A 21473-nucleotide genomic window follows, 5' to 3' on the forward strand; every position below is an offset into this window, starting at 1 on the left:
CTTAGTAGGAATAGTTCTGGCCATACTAGGGGGCTGCCTCATACTTCCTTGTCTTTTGCCCCTCCTTGTTAGGAACATGCAGTCAGCTATTGAGATTCTTGTAACCAGGCAAACTACTACCCAACTAATGGTTCTAACTAAATATCAACCCCTGCTTAATAGGAAACTAGCGCCTCATGAAAGGATAAATTTTAAAGATGATGATGCTTTCTATTAAACTTCATTTATAAGAAGCATCAAAGGGGGGAATGAAGCAGAAAATGTAAAAAGAAAAAACAAGTAAAAGAAAGGAACAAGTCTTCTCTTGCTAGGCTGACTCACTCCAAGACCTAGAGATAGGCAGCCGAGCTCTGAAAAGGATTTAATAACATTATCTGCAAAACCAGAGCCCTCAAGGAATGTGCTCCAGAGCCCCCTCTCCTCCCAGTTATGGGCAAGGATGAGAAAACAGGTTTTTCTCCTCTCCCAGCTCCCCACTCCCTTTTTGTAAATCCTTTCTTAGTGAAACTCAAGGTTACTTCACAAAGTTTTACAGATTCCTGTTTCTCTTCTGTGTAAAATAACAAGGTCACAAGACATGCTTGAGTAAGACATTTACCAGCTGTAAACCCTGCCTTAGCTTGATAAGTTCCTGTTTTTCCTCGAATTGCACAATCTGTCACTGTATGATTCACACCTTTGTTCTGTTTCTGTAAGCCTGCTTGCCTGCCCTGTACATTTCATGCCACTAGATGGCCAATCCCTTGGTTGCATGTATAAAAATCAAGCCCTGTCTTTGTTCAGGGCTCAGTTTTTTGGATGTGAATCTTCTGGGCCTGAGTGCCCTCGATAAATCCTTTTATTTCACCCATTTGGTCTCTCCAGTCCTCTGATTCCCACAACAGCATGTGTAGGTGTATGGGTGTTTGTATTCTGTAATACTAGTGAAAGTGTGGACAATGAGACTTTCTTTTCATTACTAGTAATAGAACAATTTGAAAAGCAATTTGAACATATGTATATATTTACCTAGTAATTACACATTTGGGAACCTAGTTTTAAAAATTAACGTGAAGAAACTAAAAGCTTTATTTTGAAAATGATTGTTATAGAATTTTATATGATGGTCCCAAATGGGAAATAGTAAAAATGTCCAATTCTAAGAGATTAGCTAAGCAAACTATGATCTTTTCACCAAGTAGAATACTACTTAGACATTAAAATGATTATTAATATTATTTTTTGAGAGAGTCTCACTCTGTTACTCAGGCTGGAGTACAGTGGTACAATCATGGCTCACTGAAATCTTGAACTCCTGGGCTCAAGCAATCTTCCCACCTCAACCTTCCTTGTAGCTGGGACTACAGGCATGTGCCATGAAGCCTGGCTAACTTTATTTTTATTTTTTTGGTAGATACAAGGCCTTGCTATGTTTCCCAGGCTGGCTTGAACAGCTGGATTCAAGCAATCCTCCTGTCTCAGCCTCCTGAAGTGCTAGGATTACATACATGAGACATCTCACTTGGCCTATCATTTGAAATACTATATAATCCCATAGAATAATGTTCATGATATAATATTGAGTAAAACATAATGTACAAATTATATATAGTTATACAATTATATACATAAAACTATATACAATGTGGTTTAAACTGTGTTAAAATAGTTTTTCATAGAAAGAAAAAACAAAAATACTGCACAGTATATTGTGTTTGTGTTTGAGTGTTAGGACTAGAGGTGAGTTATTTTTCCTGGTTTTCTTTTCAGTTTTTTTGTTTTCTTTCCTAAGAATGTATTACTATTATACTGTATAAAATATGATAAAAGGTCAGACTCACTTATCTCTAATGTCCTTTCCAACTCTATCATGGAGTAATTTTTGTCCCTGTATAATCAAAAGCTTGCTTCATCTTTCACACTTTTTCTTGTCTCTACCACATGTATATAATCCAGGATTTATAGTTTATGCTTGTCTTGAAATACCTGAATGTTAGCTAAGCTTATAAATAGATCTTAACATTTTGAGGCAGATTCCTGTTCTCAACAGCCAATTTTCTCATAGTAAGCATTCATTCAATGTATCCAAGATAAATTTTGAGTGTAAGCAGGCTGGACCAAGACCCTGGCCATTAATGTAAACTTATATTCCCTGCATTGCTAGATATTTTTTCTGGCTTAATAACATATTGATTGCAGGGGCTTATCTAGAAAGAGTTAGAATTGTTTTTGCTGGCAGTGTGATTTTGCATCAGCTACTCTTGTACTATCTCTTGCTTCTGATGAAAAATAGAATTACCTTACTAAAATATTTTAATATTATTAAAATTTTGAGTTTCATGACATATTTTCTGGGATTTTTAAACCTCTGAGCTAAAGTTCTGTCTGTAGCTTGGATCTATATCAGAACTTAATATTTATAAAACAAAGAAGATCCTGACACACCCTTGCATGAAAACATTGCATGATTCTAAGACCTGAAGTTAGCACTGAACAACAATGGATGTCAAAGTTGACCAGAATTGTGTTCAGATGGAAGCCTTATCATTTACTATCTATGCAACTTTGACTGATTGTTTAACTCCTCTGAATTTGAGATTACCCCCTGTAAATTGTGAATAATACTGCTTAACATGTAGGCTTGTTGCAAATATTACATCACATAATGTTAGAAAACACATAATAGGAGTCGAATCAACCAAAGTTTTAATTATCATAACTATCTAGAGATGTGGTTTACAGTATTATAACCTCAAAAGTCGATAGTGAAATGTTACATTTTTGCAGAACCCAATATGAAACTATTCCAACAATAGGGTCCACTGATGGAGAAAATACATGGAGAAATATGGATTCTTATATTGACTCATAGGCTTAAAGCTCAAACATTAAGAAATGCTAATGTAGAGAAAGAATGGTGATGTGATTGGTAGCAATAAAGTTTGGAGCTGTGAAAATATAATGCTGGCTATGAAGCTGAAGTAGGAAAATAAAGGATGCTTCATAGAAAAAATGGCAGGAAATTCAATATATAGATACATAGTTAGATTTAAGAGCCGTTTGTTTAATAAACCATTATTGGTTGAGAGAAGAACTTGTATTTTAGGCAACAGATTATAATAGAATTTTGTCCTTGCTAATCTTAAACTTGATTGACTTATACTAAATGGTCACCTCCTTAGTTCAATTTTCATATTATAAATTGTAGGCAAACACAACTTCTTATAATTTTACTAATATTAAATAAAATTATGTATTTAAAGCATCAAGCTGAATACTTGATACCTGTATGTGCTCAATTATCATAGCTCCCTCTATAACATTCAGAGCAACTCTTGAATAACATCCCTTCATTGAAGACAGATATTGAATGCTAAAATTATTCCACGGTATGTTAGGCAGTGAGAAAATCTAAAACAGTGAGGGAAATTTCTGACTTTTCCTGGGTGCCAGTGTTTTTTGCTACAGTGGCCTAAACACTCCTTCCTGGGGTTCTGGGGACCATCAGACAGGACTGTCACAATGACAATAAATCATCCCCCAAGCTGCTGCAATTTCATCTGGGGGATGCTTCCAGATGCAGTTATTACCTACATGTTGCCCAGTTAGGAAAATGCAGAGCAAATGCAATGTGACCATATTTTAGCCAGAGATTCTCAGACCTTTCCAGTCCCAGATACAGAAACCCAGACCAATCTATGGAACCATGATTACGTGGATGCTTTTCTGAACATATCACTTTAAGGAGCTTTCTGAGAATCCCCTTGAGTGTCCTTAAGATATAAGGTGTGTTTACAGATGCAAACAGGAGCTGAGGCCCTTATTATCTCTGGCCTCATGTAAGTCACTCTGCTTCTCCAAGTCTCATTTTGTAACCTGAAACAAAATTTCCTGTCCTATATGCTGCAAAGGGTCATGAAGGCCTAATGAGATAAGGGATCTAAAAATGCTGTAGGGAAAACAAAATGCAATGCTCTTTATAACACAAACTAGGATTGTTACCTCCAGAGGCAAAGAGATTACATAGTTAAAGTCTTTTAAAGTCTTTTAAATAATGTTAAGAAATGATGACCTTGCAAACATAGCCAATAGGGAACTAACTAATGGGGACAGCAAATGAAGTTGCAGAGACTGATAAGGATATAATTGAAAACCTTTGGAAAACACGAACTCTGTTTTGGGTCCTTTTCTTTTGGCATCTTACCTTGTTCCTTGTGTTTTTCGGATTCAGCTGCTGGATGCTTGATTTTGAGGTGTTACCATGCTACTGCCTCCATCTGTATCTGTCTGGGAGAAAAGCAATAGTGAAGATGAGAAAGAAGGGAGGAAAGAGAAAGGGGGAACAGAGTTCTGCATAATGCTTAGTGCTCCAAGGTCCCAGCATAAGAGGCCCACCCTGACTTTATCCATTCTTATATTTTAGATCCTAGGAACCAAAGATCATTTAATCAAAAACGTGCCTCTCATAGTTAGGGAAATTACATTCTTTTTGCCCAGTGGAAAATTTACATGTTTATTGGTTATATTCTAGGATGATATTTATTATTCACTGAAAGTTTCAAGGGCAAACAAATACACTAGAAATTTTGGAAAGACTCAAGAAACGATAAAATATTACCCCTTGACAGAACAATATTTTATAATGATATTTTGTCTGGTGGGCATGGCTGTCTGTATAACATGAAGATTAAACCTTGGCTGGCAGTGAATTTTTATGTATTACCAAGGTTAGAAGCATAAAAGGCCCTTCTAAAGAAAGTAGTGTCTGCATAAAGTAGTTCATGCACAAAATGCTTGTGATGGTGAGTTGAAATGGGAATAAGAATAGCAAGTACAGGGGCTTCTGGAAAGGTAAAAGATTACAGATGTTGTCATGGGAAATACCCACACAACATGACAGGCTACATTCACAAGAAGCTATCCATGTAGAAAGTGAATTCTTAGAAATTGCTATGGGAGCCCTAAGTAATGACATTTTCACTCTATTGCCATATAGCTTCAACAATTGTCAGATTACCACTGACTTACTAGCAGAATAACCCCAAGGTAATTGATCATCTCTTATAAATGCATGTCTCTATAAAGGGTCACAATTAAAGAAACTTTCCCAATGTACAGGTGAAGAAACAAAGTTCAGAGAAGTCATAGAGCAAACAGGTGTTGATGCTAGCCAGAGGGCAGATCGAAGCCACTTAAGCTCCAAAGTCAATTCTCTTAATCAGCTTACTATAGTATATAAGTTCCTATTAATAATGAAGTGTGAACCAAGTGGGAACAGAAAGTTGTGAAACCAGATTTTCTTGATCTTAGTGTCTTTATTTTTTGAAAGAAATTAATGATAATACCCAAGGCCATAACACTCAATAATGACAGGAAAAATATTTTTCCAACTTTTGTTCTAGCATTATACAAATATTAGCAGATAATACTTTATTTATAGTATCTGAAATGTTGTAGACATTCGGTAAATTTTACCAGCTTAATTGAGTCAAGTATCTGCAAATGCTTGTTTTCAGGCATGAATGGATTAATCCCAAACAGGACTAGGACTATGCTTAGAATTAGGAAAAAAGAAAACAAACAGAACATGGTATATTGGAAGATAAATACAGTGGTAGTAGTAGTGGAGACAAGAGATGTGTATCTCCATAAAACGCTGTTACTCTCAATATTAAATTCTTATGTCTAAGAGGAAGGAAATTAAAACTGTCAGAAAAATTTTAGTGCCTTAAGACCTTCAAAGATATGTAAATCACCTAAAATATGAAAGTATTATATTGTTCAACATGTATAAACAATAACAATGTTTTATTCATATATTTCTTCAATCACTTTATTTGTATTAATTTGCCTAAAAGTGTGCTTGGAAACAAGAATGAAAGAGACAAAAGTGATTCTTGTCCTAATTGAGTTTACATTTTCATGCAAGACATAGACAAGAAAATAAATACCATACTTATAATTTATGATTGTGTTAAGTGCTATGAAATACCAAAGAGACAGTTCTAAGCATGATTGGTATCTTAGTATGTTTACAAGTTGATTTTGTAGACATGAGACCTGATGGCTATAATATTCACAGAATCATTACCAATTGTTGGCTATAATTAGACTCCTGCTGCAAAGGGGCAACTTAACATCCTTAACTTCTTTTGACAAGGTTCAACTTTTGTTCTGAAAATAATAGAAAGGGTTTATTTTCCCAAGAGTCAGTTATTCTGAGCACTACAGAGTTCAACTGTAGTTCAAGATGCCATGTGATACATTTTGACTGGGAAAATATGGCAAAGCATGATTTCTAAGAATTAATTATATCATCCAAGATACATGATAGCAGGGGTTGCTGGTATAAAAATCATATCTGACAGAGTCCATATGACAAGCATAACATAAAGAGACCATATTATGTTTAACATGTGTATAATACAAAGAGAAGGCAATGATGGTGCATCGAACAATTTACAGAATTAGCAGATAGCCCAAAAAGCTTAAGTAAATCATTGTATTTGATTGAGCCTCATTTTTCTTATTTGAAAAAAAAAAAGTTAGTAATCAATGGTGGGAACAAACGTTTCTTTGCTAATTTTGATGTTTCCTTGCAGGTGATGAGAACACAATTAGGGTAACATTCCTAGCTTCTTTCTACCCTTTTACTTGTTCTGCTCCAGAAAAATTGGAATAGTGTGATTTGAATGGTAAATTTATGGAGAATAACATGAATGCACTCTGTTCAGCACCTCTCCTTTCTTTTTAGGAAGAGGCTGTAAAAAGGACCAGGTTTTCCCTTAGAGAGGCCTCACTGAAGAGCCAATTGCCAGGGGCGGGAAAGTCTATCAGTTTTAAGAAGCTGGATGATAGATATTCTTAGATGACTATAATTAGGCGATAAGGCAATAACATGCTGATCTGCTTAGAATTTTATTTCATTTTTCAATTAGTTCAGACTCTGGTGTAGAAAACAAGTTTTATTTAAACCATCAGCAATAATAATTTGTGACTTACAAATTCTGTTGTGAAAGTCAAATGTAGTGATGAATTTGAAATGGATGTATAAATTCAAATCTCCACATAATCTTGTGCAGTTTTTTTAGTCAAGCAATATACCTTATAACTAAAACTCAGCTCTCAAAAGCAGAAGTAAGTGTGGAAGGATAGAACTGAGGCTCAGGAATTTTCCACCACTACTAGCATATTCCCAAGATGCCTGAGCTTCAGGCAAAGCTGTTTCTATTGATCCACATAAGGCTTATTTCCATCTCTCAGTTAATTGTTTCTGTTTTGAGTTGGATTGTGACACTCAAAAAAAGCTGTGTTGGAGTCCTAATGACTGGTGCCTGTCAATATGATATTTTCTGAAAATAGAGTCTTCATAGATGTAGTCAAATTAAGATGAAGTCATATTGGAGTATAGGGTGGGCCCTTAATACAATATGAATGGTATCCTTGTGAGAGAGAAGATGCATACAGACAGTCACACAGGAGAAGGATGGCCCTGTGACATACATAGAAGCAGTTAGTGGAGAGATGCATCTACAAATCAAGGAACAACAAGGATTGATGGCAAACACCGGAAGTTAAAACAGGCAAGGAAAGATTCTTCCCTACCATTCTCAGAGGCAGCATGGCCCTGCCAATGTCTGGACTTCAGATTTCTAGCCTCCAGAAATACAAGTCAATAAATTACTGTCGTTTGAAACCATCCAGTTTGGGGTACTTTGTTATGGAGGCCCTAGGAAATTAATGCAGTGCCCATACCTAGTGACAGGAAAACCTGGGTATCATTTTTACTGCTCCACTGAAAAGACTGGTACTCCTTGACCTCAGAGAACATAAGAAAGACCATGTCCCAGTTGGCCCCTCTTCCTCAGATGCTGCTGAGCTCAGGACTATAAATAATAGTTCCCAAACCAATGTTGGTAGTGTTTTGCCCAGGAGCTCTACAAATGGAAGAGTCATGGATGAGCAAGTGGATGACTCAGTGGAGTATATGTGTGCTGACTCCCAAATGCTGGAGAGAACCAAAAGTAATCCTAAAAATTAAGTTCATTTTTTTGGTATGAAGTAGTTGTGTTTTTGTGGTTTATCAAATTAATTCCCAGATCTGAGGCACCAATGCTTGAAAAACCATGTAGATTTAATAGCTAATGGATCTACAGTGTCTCCCAGTACATGTACTCCTGATCTCTCAGCTTAACTTCTAGGACTTAATGTCTCTAAAACCTTGGACCCCATGCCTCAGACGTAAGTTTTGGCCACTTTTATTCTGACTAGTCTCTTGATCCCAATAGTATGCCTATTTTTATCTTCATACTTACAGCTGATGATGTTTCTGCAATATAAAAATCTCCCTGCTCCTATTTGCCCCTAAAAATTCAACCTTTCAAGGCCTAACTTATAATCCACTTCCATTGCAAAAACCCTGCCAGTGACTGTAATCAAGACCAACCATTCCACTACCTTATATTCCTTTCTGGTACTATTGTGTTGGTGGACTGTGTGTGTGTGTGTGTGTGTGTGTGTGTGTGTGAGAGAGAGAGGATTGTGGGGAGTGGAGAGAAAGTGGTAGCCTTGTCTTTCAACAGGATTTTTTTAGCTCCTTCAATGTATACATTACCTAGATTTCATAATTTTATTATTATCTTCAGTACATAGCACAGTGAAGTGTTTACTAGTTGATCAATACAATTTTAACTTGATGACACAGAAGTCTAGTGCTATTGTAATTTTTTTAAATGCAACTAAGTTGTGGATGCAGAATCAGGGCAAATCATGGAATTCCATTATTTCAATGAATATATGTAAATCTTGGTCAGTCCTAGGTGACAGAAGAGAGTAAAGAGGAATTACTATTTAGTGAGCCACTGAATTATGTTTCAGATACTGCACTAAGCAATTTACATAGATAATCTCTCTTAATCCTCAGATTAACTCTTTGAGTTCAGGGTCATTATTTCCAATTTTAAAATCAGAAAATTGAGAATCAGAGAGCTTCTTGAAGAAACAAGATTAAGCAAAAGGCCTTTGCATGATACTATGCCCTCTTTTCTCTTTCATCATTATATCTTAAGACATTTTGAGGAGCAGAACAAGAACACCTTTATATCCTACACAGGGATCAACCTGGCATGGTGGCTCACACCTGTAACTCAAGCACTTTTGGAGGCTGAGGCAGGAGGACTGCTTGAGGCCAGGAGTTCAAAAACAGCTTGGGCAATGTAGGGAGACCCATCTCTACCAAAGAAGTTATAGACATTGAAAATAAATAAATAAAAATAAATGGACAGGCAAACCACCGCGTGTCTATGCCTGGACATCTTGGTTCTTGGTGACATGAAACATACCACCTCAAAGGATGAGTACCGTATAGTACATTTGATTCATGAAAAGCATCAGAAAAAAAAAAAGTTTCTTTGAGGGAAAAACATCTGCTGTTAAAGTCACTTCAAAGACATTTTAAATAATTGGTTTTATTCTTGAGGATTGTGATTAAAAGAAAGCATTTAACTATTAACCTGCAAATTGACCTTTGTGATCTTGGAAAAGACAGGCTAATTATTTTTGAATGTTAGATTTTCTCTCACATTTCCAAAAAGAAGAATGAATGACTAGAACAGTGGAAGAATTGTGGATGTTCCTCATCACAGCTGATAATTACTTAGGGTCAGTGGCAGCCCCAGACATTGGCATAGTAGGTAGGTGAAAGAATTAGTTAAAATATGTTCCTTTTCAGTACAGTGATTAGAATGCATATCTAAAATATATAAATGAATACATAAACATCTTACTTTTAAGTATGACCAAGTATAGTGGTTAAAAAGAGAGATGCTGCAACTAATCTGATATTTTCTAACTCTGGCTCTACCTCTTAAAACCTGTGTGACCTAGGTCAAATTACCAAACTTCTATGGGCTTCAGTTTTTTCATTCATACTATGAGGATAATTGTAGTGCCTACTTTATAGAGCTATTATGGTAAAGAAGTTCATAGGTATAAAGCTCTTGCAACAGTGATTATAAGTGCTATGTTTGTGTTTTATATAAAATAAAATAAATTCCCAATAAAATTATGTATGGAATCATAAAAAATCATTTTCTTGGAAATCTTTGAATCCAAATGTACATTTTATTTTTCCTTTGGAGACAGCTATCTTGCTCAAGGTTACACAGATAAAACATGGGTGGAGTGAGGGCTAGAACTTCTGACTCTTAATGACTATTCTAGATCTTTTCCCAAGCTATGTTGCATGCTCAACATTTGTCAGCCATAAAAATATGCCATTAGCACTTCTCTTTTTCCTGTTAGGCTGAGAGATTCTCAGTCTCCAAACCTGACTAGAGACTGTAGTAGTAAACTTCTTGAGCTTTAAACCCTTTCTAGCTCTAGAACAAGCTTGTCCAACCCATGGCCCCTGGGCTGCATGTGGCCCAGGATGGCTTTGAATGTGGCCCAACATAAATTCATAAATTTCAAAAAGCATTATGAGAATTTTTGCAATTTTTTTTAGCTCATCAGCTATCATTTGTGTTAGTGAATTTTATGTATGGCCCAAGACAATTCTTATTCTTCCAGTGTGGCCCAAGGAAGCCAAAAGATTGGATACCCCTGCTTTAGAGGCTAAGAACAAGGAGAACAATATTCTTCAGAGCTTTTGAGTTAAGGAAATATTTCTATAGCCCCTGACCTAATTGTTTATTGCACTGAGGCATCAAATGAATCTCTTCTTCCTCTGAACCCCTGATCACAAAATATCTTATCTAACAAAAGTACTGATGGTGAATAGGACAGGGAAAGCAGATTACTATGAGATGAGTGGCATGGGTAGCAAATGACAGGTGTGTTGGGGGTGGGGAGTGTGTAGCAGAGTTCACTGCGGAAGAAAGAAGAAGGCAACCTCTGGAGCAAGAGAAATTGACAATGTATATGGTGCCTTGATATAATTTGAATGTGGTTTCTCTTACCTTAGCCATAATATTAATTGGGAATGAACAGAAGTGATGGAAGGGCAAGAAGGATGAAGAGGAGTTGGAAGCCAGTGCTTATTGGTACTATGTGCAGGTCCTGTGCCAGCATTTTCTTCACAATAATTCTGTGAGGCAGCTGTTTTTAATCCCACTTTCTGGGGAAACTGGGTCTAAAATTGGTTTTAAAACTTGCTCATCTAGTTAACAAGAATTAGAGCTGGAATTGAAATACAGGGGTGTTCTGTGAAGTTCAAAGTCCTTTGGCCACAATGTCTGACTCTCCAATATAATAACCCCTTGTGTTTTCTTCTACTTGCTGAACCCAACTGAATGAATTCTCACTGTGGAACACTTTTTTTCTGACTACTCTTACTGCCAAAAACCCATCACCCTGTATTAGAAGGTACTTGACTATGTGTCAAAAAGAGAAATTGCTTTTCTTCAGTTAACTATTTTTAGCACAGATTATCTGACTAGCAGGTTTATCTTAAGTGATGCTGGCACTGTTCATGGGCCCTGGACTACTACTAAAAATACAAATGCTAATTGTGCTGAGAGCACTCAGCACAACTTTGGCTTTCAGCTCATTCTAATTGACAGACTTAGGCTTTGTTTCATGTAAATGTGCATGAACTAGATTATTTTCTTAAATTCTCAGCCTTACCATCATACTCTGCTATATTTAGCATGTTTGCTTCCCTGAATAACCCAGTTGCCTCACAATTGATTTCATCTATATTTATTGACAAGAGAGAAAGAGGTCATCAAGTACAACATTAGAATGGACTTTGGAGGCTCAGTTGTACTGAGACATATCCTGTGGTACTTGGTTCAGAATGTGGTACTTTGTACAAAAGAATCATGAATGAAAGAAAGTGATTTCTCATATTTGGAGCTCTCCAAGTGACCCAAATGATCCCAAATAAAAGAAGAATGGTATTCTTGGCTGAAAATGAGACATTCACATTCATAATTACAATTTTTATAACCAAAACAAGCATTATTGCTATTGATAGATGTAGTCAGAACATGAATATCAGCATAGGCCCATAGATTTTAATACATAACCAAGAAGTTTTTCTTGAACCTTCAACAACTATCAGTTGTTTTTGTTGATGATAGAAGTTAGGAGTTCTTTAAAGTAATGGTCTTCGAAATAATGTATTGTGCTTTTGTGTATTGTTTTGTTTTTGGATATATTTTCTGTTCTTCTATAATTACTGTCTCTCCTCTGAGGCACCAAAAGATGTTATTTATTAATTGACAGTAGTTAGTACTGAATATAAGCACAATATAGTGAAGGATACAAGAAAAAGAAAGTTAACTTCCAAATCAGTTCTGGCTCTGTCACTTCCTAGGAAACAAATGACTTTCAGCAAGTGATTTATCTCTGTAAGCGGCAGCTTCCTTAACTGGTAAGAAAATAAATAGAAAGAAGGATACTAGAAACAGTCCTACTTAAAGGGAAGTTTGTGGCAAGTAAATAATATTAGTGGGAGTCAACACAGTGAAAGGCACATAGCATTTGCTCAAGCAAATGCTCAAAAAATGGTATTTTTAAAAAATAATTATTACGTACAATAGTAAAAAAGGAGCAACTTTTAATTACTTATCATTTTATTATTTTCTGTAAATTAAATTAGATATATGGTTTTCCTTTGACGTGATAGCTTTAGATATATTTTATTTTCTCTGTTTATTGTTTCTGTTTACAAAACATGCTTATGACATTTGCATACTGCATTTTAAATTTAGCATAATTCTGTCATAAGTACATTTACATAGTATTATGTGCTCTGGATTTGCATTGTGTTTCACGCAGTACAGATAGCGTATTAACTTTTGGTCCCTGGATGTGGTGAACAAATTATGAAAGCTGGAAATCCCAGTGCTTCACTCATTCCTCGCTCAACACTAAATCCTACTAGTTTTAAAATCTGTCCACTTATCTATCCATACTGCTGTGTTCCTCATTTAGGCATATTCTCCCCCTTTATATTTAACTTGAAGATAGTAACAGCTGCATTACTGAACTTCCTGTTTCGGAGCTTGCCTTCCTTTGTTTCAATCACCCTTCACTTTGTAAACAAAGTAATGTCTGTAATTTCAAATATGACTATTTTTCTTCTGTTTTTCAAAGCATTTTCAACCTCAAGAAATGCATTTAAGCACACTGACCTCAAAAAAAGATGCAAACTCCTTGAGATGCTTATGAGGACCTTTAAGAGCTGGTTGTTTTCTTTCTGAATGTACTGTTTCTAAATATAAATGAATGCAATTCTTCACAGAATTCAATTTAAAAAGCACTGGGTAAAATTAATGTAGTTATCATGGAAACGTAAACATCTTCAAATATTCATGAACATTTTTAAAAATTAAAAAATACTAAAAAGGATGTGCTTTTTGATACTAATGATTACCTTAAATTCAAAACCATATAATAAATGGCTCAGAAATCAATTAATAGGTTGTTTTAACAGAATTTAGAAGTAGTAAAGAGAATAAAGTAAATATGAAAACTTAATATGTAACAAGGAAGGCAGTCTAAGTCACAGGAAGTAAGGAAAATTAATAAGTTTTGCTAGAATAAATGACTTCTCACTAGAAAGAAAATAAAATCGATTTTGTTGTTCACATAATATAGGAAATGTAAGACTACATACATTAAGTGTTAAAATAAATAATTAAGACATTTTAAGCCAAAATATAACATTATAGTCTATAGAAAATAGACTTTTTGTAAAACTTGTGAGTGGGAGACCTTTTTGTCTTTAACAGTGTACCCAGAATCCAGACATATATATACATTTTAAGAATATACCTTTAGTGGGCAAAAGTCACCTTATAGAAGTTGTAAGAAAAATAATAGCAATGGAAAATATTTACAATAAAATATATGACAAATAAAATTTATTATAGTAACTATTTGAAAAATCTCTCCAATGATTTGGAAGAAGACAAATATTTTTATAATAAAATTGTCATTGAATAACGGCAACTCACAGAAGAGGAAGTCATGTCCACAAAATATGTGCAAAGATGTTTAATCTCACTTGTGGTAAAGAAAATGCTAAATAATAGTTTTTAACAATTTAATGATATTAACAATTTAAGCAATAATTAAATACATTTATATCAACTTGGCAATAATTATAAAGGGCAGTACTATTCATTGTTGGCAACAGCGTGAGTAAACGTATCTCCAATACATTGATGTTGGAAATGTGAACTGATAAAATATTTTGCTGAAGTACTCGTTTTGTGGTTTGTCAAATGAACATTACAGAAGATAGCAAGAAACAAAACAATCTCATTTATGGTATGTTCTCCTATAGTATATCACAGAAATAATGTAAAATTACACACACACACATACATATGCACACACACGATTGAAGTTGAAAAATGTGGAGATGTGAAATATATATGTAAGAGAATGTTTTAGATAAAATTTAAAAATACTCATTTTATGGAATATGATACAAGCATTGAAAAGAACAAACTAAGCTTTTTGGATGAGAAGAGTAATTTACTATACATGCTTTCCCCTCCCCTAGTAAAAATTCAACTAAGTAATAATAAAGGAATAAGTAGATACAAACAAAAATAAAGACAAAAGAAAGCTTTAAAGACAAAATGTTTTATCAAATTTCCTCAAGACACCAAGAAGATGAAATACAAATGTTATAAAAGAGATCATAGAAAGCTACAGCAAATAATAGAGATAAAAGGGACTTTAAAGGTGAGAGAAGGATGAATATCCTTTCAGAATGCTAGAGAAATCCAGAATTTAAGACTTACAGGTACGGTGTTGGTGCGATTGATGCTAACAGTAGGTAGGTTACGTAAAAGCTATGTACAGAATGGATACCATCTTGTCCTTGCTGGAAGAATACATATAGTATGTGGCCATTATTTAGTATGCATATAGTATCAGATGAAATACTATATTGAAGCCATGAGAGAGAAAAACAATTGTGAGGGAAAGGATATTTTTGGTAAGACAATTGAATCAAGTATAAGTAAAAAAAAGAGTCTTGAGATGATTAAGAAAGGCTGGGTAGACTTAGTAGACTTAGGTGCGTATGAGTAAAGGCAGTTTCACATCTCGAAGTCCCTCAGAATAAAGGATGTTTCGCTACCTCATTACTCTCATACTTGGATTGCTGGTTAGTCAGTTTTTCCCTATAACTTTTTTATTTTTTATTATGAAATATTGGATGAAAAAGCAAGACTCTCCAGACATTGATACATTCTGTAATATAAAAGAAAATTCTTTATGAAGCGAAAAAAAAAAAAATGCCTTGGAAAGATTAGTTCAAGAACAAGAAAAAGCTTTAAAACATATACTTAATTTATCCTCAACAATATTTAGATAAGAAATCTATAAAACAAGAAGAGTCACTATGAATAAGTAAGTATCAAGAAGCATGAAACACCTATAAGAAATTTAAAATAAATATTTTTAATTAAAAACATGATTTATGAGATAAAAACCTGTACATCACTTAAAAATTAAGACAAAAAGAAAAAAAGGATATTTGAGAGGAAAGACACAAGACAGAGGATCAATTTGAAGGTCAAATATCAAAATATGAGGAGTTCCCCGAGATCAAGTTTGGAAATATAAATAATTGAAAAGTAAATCAAAATATCCTTTTCTTTTTTCAGAAAAAAAGGATGTGCTTCAGCTAAATGAGACAGCAATTCAATAAAGAAGGCATGGAATTCAAATATCACTAGTTTCAAACTACAAAGTAATTTGGTAAAATTTCAGAATGTCACATATGTCTTATATCTAATAAATAATCAGATCAGAATGGTACATAAAGATAAATGACTTATCTTGGGGAAAATATGTGTGTGGGTGGGAGTAGTTTGGGGAGAATTGGGATTTAAGAAATTTCTGACTTGAAAAAACAAGTCTTTTTTTGTTTGTTTTTAAATGTGAAGAATAAACCAAACAGCTGATTAGAGTCGGATTAAAGGAAAAGAATGTATTTATTTGGAAGGTAGAACTGAAGAAAGTATTCTGAATACAGTTCAGAAAGACACAATGATAAAAGGGATATTATAGAACATATAAAATACAGTGAGAAGAAGAAACATACATCTGATCAGAGCTATTGAACAAAAAGAGACAATGAATCAGAGATAAAATGTGAGTACTTAATTGTTAAAATTTTTCTATAATTGATTGAACACAAACCTTCTAAAGTCCAGGTATCTCAACAGAGGCCAAAACAAATTTTTAAATAATAATAAATTCACACTGTGATACATCCTAGTGAAACTTCAGAATGCTGAAAGGAGTTAAACTGTCTTAAAAGTAGCACAAGTAAAAAGATTGCTGACAAAGAAAACTCATAGGTGACTCAGAGTCAGTGAGAGTGGAAACAGAAAACAGAGGGGTGACACCTTGTTTTCAGAGAAAATGAGTATCAATCTAGATTTATTATGTTCAGTAAAATTATTTTCTAGATTGAGAAGAAATAACGGCATTTTTATACTAAAAGTAAGTACCTGAGAGCGTACATAACCAATAGGTGATATTATATTAAAAGAATATTTATAAAATGTTCTTGAAGAAAGAATACCAGAAGGAAATATCAGATGAAAGAAATAAGCTTGAACAATGATAACTGTAAACTTCTAAGTAAATCTAAGTAAATATTGGCTGCATACTATAATAACAATTTTTAATTTATGAGTTTAGAATTCAATTTCTTTTAAAAAATCAACTGTCTCTAAGTGAAGGGTAAAGGAATCAGATTTAAAGCCTTTTGAGAGTCATTTATTGTAAAGGGGATAGATAATGATATTTATAAACTTCATTAAATTACATATGCACGTAATGCTGCTAGACTTACCCCTTTATAGATGGGAAAATGTGCATAACTTCTAAATGAGTGGAGAAATAGAGGGGAATACAAGGAAAACAAATCACACTAAACAACTCAAATAAATATGAGAGAGAAGCAGGACAAATACAAATAAGAAATTAATTTGTTAGATAAATAAATAAAAAATGTTTATCGTCAGAACAATGTAACATCAACTAGTTTGTACAGTTCAGGGACAAAAGTAGACAGATTGGATTAGAAAAATTATCCAAGTACATGCTATTTAAAATGTCACACCTGAAATAAAGGCTGAACATAAAAGACTAAAAAAAAATTCAACAATTACTCTCTGAAAGAGATAGTAAGAGAAAGTTTTTAAATAAAATTAATAAATACTGAAAAATTGGAATAGCTCTATTAATATACATAAAAAGACTGAAGGCAAAAACCACCACCAGAGATAAAGAGAGTCAAAACATAATAGCTTTTATTCAGGAGGAAATATATACATTTTAAATATAAATTATAATAACAGTTTCAAAATATACAAAGACATGATTGAATTAAAAACACAAATTTGCAAATTAATCATAATTGGGACAAATATTTCAAACATTTATTTTAGTGTGGTTGAGCGATAAAAATGAACAGTAGTATTTAAAGGATTTAAATAACTTAGGTAACAAACTAGCAAAAGTATCTAATAACTATATGCAAAACACTGCCTCCAAGAAGGTGGAAAGTACACCTTCTTTACAGGCATAAATGAAACAATTTAAAGAATTGAACATGTTCTAGGCTATAAAGTAAAGCTCTACTGATTTTAAAGGGTTGGTGTCATATTCATCATATTCTCTAACCACCTCGCAGATAAATTAGAAGTCAATAATGAAAAGAACTTTAAATTGTGCATACATTCAGAAAATTCAACAAAAAACACTTCTAAATAATACAGGAGACAAGGAAAATAATAATAAAAATTAGAACATTTTGGGGATAAAAGCAATTATATGTATATATATATATATATATATATATATATATATATATATATATATATCTCAAACATGTATGATGTAAACTTTTATGATTACCTTTAGTGATTAAATTAGGAAAAAAAGAGAAAGGTTAAAAAAATTGATCTGAGTGTCTAACTTAAAAAAATCAGTTGGAGGCCAGGTGTGGTGGATCACACCTGTAATCCCAGCACTTTGGGAGGCCCAGATGGGCAGATCAGGAAGTCAGGAGTTTGAGACCAGCATGGCCAATATGGTGAAACCCCATCTCTACCAAAAATACAAAATTAGCCAGACATGGTGGTGCATGCCTGTAATCTGAGATACTTGGGAGGCTGAGGAAGGAGAATTGCTTGAACCTGGGAGGCGGAGGTTGCAGTGAGCCAAGTCATGCCACAATGGGCAACAGAGTGAGACTCCATCTCAAAAAAAAAAAAAAAAAAAAAAAAATCAGTTGGAAAAAAACTAGAGAATGACTACAAGTAAAATAAATGTCAGCAAAAAAAAAAAAAAAAAAAAGACAAAAACAGACATTGAAACGATGGTATATTTTACAGAAAAAAAAAGGCCAAGAATTGAAAAACTTAATAAAGTTTTAAAAATTGGCAACATTAATCAAGAAAACGGAAGGCACATATAAACAATAATACAAATAGAGTCAAGGTATAGGCACATATGAAGCAGGCATTTATATCCTGATAATAAGATAATAGAGAATAATATGAAAAGGTTGAAATTTAGATGAAATGGCACACTCCAAAAAAAAAAAAGAATCACAAGAAAATAGGAAATACAATGCTTCAGGATACCTACATATGTGGTTAAATACTACAAAGAAAAGTAAAAGTATCATTAACATAAATTTTAGAATTATGGCTTCTTTGGTTTGAGGAGAAGGGGCTGTATAAGGGAGGGCACATTCCTAAACTATGTGGAGGGAAATGTTTGTTCCTTTTGCACATATTCCTTAAAAAGTGTACCAAGTTAGATATGCACTCTTTAGTATGTCATATGTATTCAAAAATAACAAAATAAAATATATAAAAATAAAGTGCAAACACTACATATGTGTGCATGTGTTTAGAGGAAGAGCAGAAAGATATTCATCTGGTCTGAATAGTTGATTACATCACTGGAGTCAAGGTAGTGGGAAAAAGTGAGGGTATATTAAAATTAATTTTTTACTCTTCCCTTCTTTAGAATATTTTTCAATTAAAACAAACATGTTTATTTTAAAAACTAAATGAAATAAAATGTGTTACTTTTATTATGAAAATAATACAGAAAAATAAACTATGCTATAAATGCATTACAAAGCAATATTTTGTTTCATGTTTTCTGTTTTTAAGCTTTATAAAAATTGAATGTTGTGGTATGTTTTCTCCTGTGCTTTACCTTTTTAAAGAATATTATGCTTTTGAGATTTATCAGTGCTGATGTGTGTAGCAAAAATTCCCTCATTTTTACTGTTGTGTGACATTCAATTTTGTGAATATACCACAAAAAAATTAAATTATCTACCCCAGTTTTTCTCTCCAGGTTCCTCACTTTCAGTAAAAAATTCCATGTTCTAATCATAGTGAATTTACTTTTAACTTCAGTAATTCTCTGTGTGGGATGACATTGATATTTTTATCGGCCAAATATGGTTAAATATCACTCATTTCATATAATTCAGCCCAAACTATACGGTACTGTCTATAATTTATCTGAAATTTAACTAGACTATATGCTTAGAGCAAGGTTCCTCAACCCTGGGCTATGGACTGGTACCAGTCCATGGCCTGTTAGGAACCAGGTCACATGCAGGAGGTAAGCAGTGAGCCAGCCAGCATTGCTGCTTGAGCTCTGCCTCGTGTCAGATGAGCCATTAGATCCTTATGAGTGCAAAACCTATTGTGAACTGCACATACGAGGGATCCAGGTTGTACACTCCTTATGGGAATCTAACTAATGTCTAATAATGCCTGATGATCTGAGGTGTAACAGTTTCATCCCAAAACTATACCACCTGCCTGCCATCCCCACTTTGCCCCCATTGGGAAGAATTTTGTCTTCTACAAAACCAGTCCCTGGTGCCCAAAAGTTTGGGGATTGCTGGCTTAAAGGTTAAAAATTGTTTCTCTACATTTTTCCTTAAATCTCCAGTGCCTAACTCAGTCTTTTATACATAAAAAGAACTAAATACATGTCCTGAAATAATTAGTATTTTAATTATGTTAGAATAACTGCCTTTTCTAATTGTTTCAAAAATGAGCTCATTTCTCCCCATATTTTACATTAACTTTCAAGAAAAAAAGTAAAAATTGAAATATATTCTTTAGTCATAATTACCAATAAATATTACTTACATTGTTATTTAAGTTATCTACAGTACAATGGAAACATATTTTGTGCTATATTCACATAAGAAAATATTACATAACATTGACATTTAAAATATTGCCACACTTCTAACACTGGTTAATCTACCTTCTATTTAGGTAAATGGTATTACAATCATGACAAAAAGTCTCTCATCTTTAAAATGCATTATTTCCCTCTCATTAAAGCATCCTTCTTGTCATGGACAAAAGAAACCATAGCCTGAATTTTGTAATAATAATTTTCTTGTCTTATGATTTTTAGAATATGTTGTCTACTTTTGCTAATTTTTCAAAATTTTATAAATGGGCTCATTCTTTATGCATTTACTTGTGCATTACTTTTTGTTCAATGTTATGATTTAATTTTATGCTGTTTCAGTTATGAGTCTAAAGTATAGGTTCATGAATACAGACTTCATTCTAGGTGCTTGAGCCTAACACTGATTTATTGATTGATTCATTCATTCATTCATCAAAAAGTTACTGAGTATCAATCTGAGCTATGAATAACTTTATACAAATAATATTAAAAACTTAAGAGTGACAGATAAATTCCCAGTATAATGTTTTGGTGACTACATCATAGTCACCAAACCTGAAATAATGAAAAATAGAAAACCTGAATCTTGAAAAAAATATATTAGTAGTGAAAAATCTTTTCATAACTAAACAACACAATTAGATGATTTAGTTCCCTAAATGGTTAGGGAACAAGTACTTCTAAAAAATACTTCTAATGAACACTTTATAAAATAGGAAACATTCACCTACTTACTTTATGAATATTCATGTAACAGACAAAAACTTCATAAAGCAAAATATATCATTTAGAGATCATTTAGGAATCTGAATTCAGAGAAACCTCATATTACTTTCCAGTTTTTAAAATTAAGTATTAATGTGATGAACCATATCATACACTTCCTTCTCCAGAAGAGTTAAAATTATTTATTATAAATAATAGAAAATTAACTTAAAGATATTTGAAAATCTGTCATCAATTGCAAGAAATGCCTCTACTATCTAGTTGAGATTTATCAAGTCAATGATCTTGGAAGTTAACAGAAATTGAATAGATATTATGTATGCAATAAATCAATCAAAATGCTGCAACTCTACACAGGCAAGATTAAATAAGGGAGATGGAAAAAAGTAGATTCTTGGTTGTTTGTCCCTCAAGAATTTTCAAAGTTGGCCAGGCATAGTGGCTCATGCCTGTAATCCCAGCACTTTGCGAGGCCAAGGTGGGCGGATCATGAGGTCAGGAGATTGAGACCATCCTGGCTAACACGGTGAAACATTGTCTCT

The 21473-nt window shown here is 33.5% G+C and overlaps 1 long non-coding RNA gene across 2 annotated transcripts in view; it reads right to left on the reverse strand.

The window, feature by feature from the left end:
• LINC02755 (long intergenic non-protein coding RNA 2755) overlaps positions 1 to 21473 on the reverse strand; it is a 258473-nt gene that overhangs the window by 191227 nt on the left and 45773 nt on the right. For both annotated transcript variants that reach the window (NR_183754.1, NR_183753.1), the window contains exon 2: positions 4184 to 4266. This is a non-coding gene — a long non-coding RNA (long intergenic non-protein coding RNA 2755). The remainder of the gene's footprint in view (positions 1 to 4183; positions 4267 to 21473) is intronic.

Source organism: Homo sapiens, chromosome 11 (genome assembly GCF_000001405.40).
Source record: "Homo sapiens chromosome 11, GRCh38.p14 Primary Assembly".
NCBI lineage: Eukaryota > Metazoa > Chordata > Mammalia > Primates > Hominidae > Homo > Homo sapiens.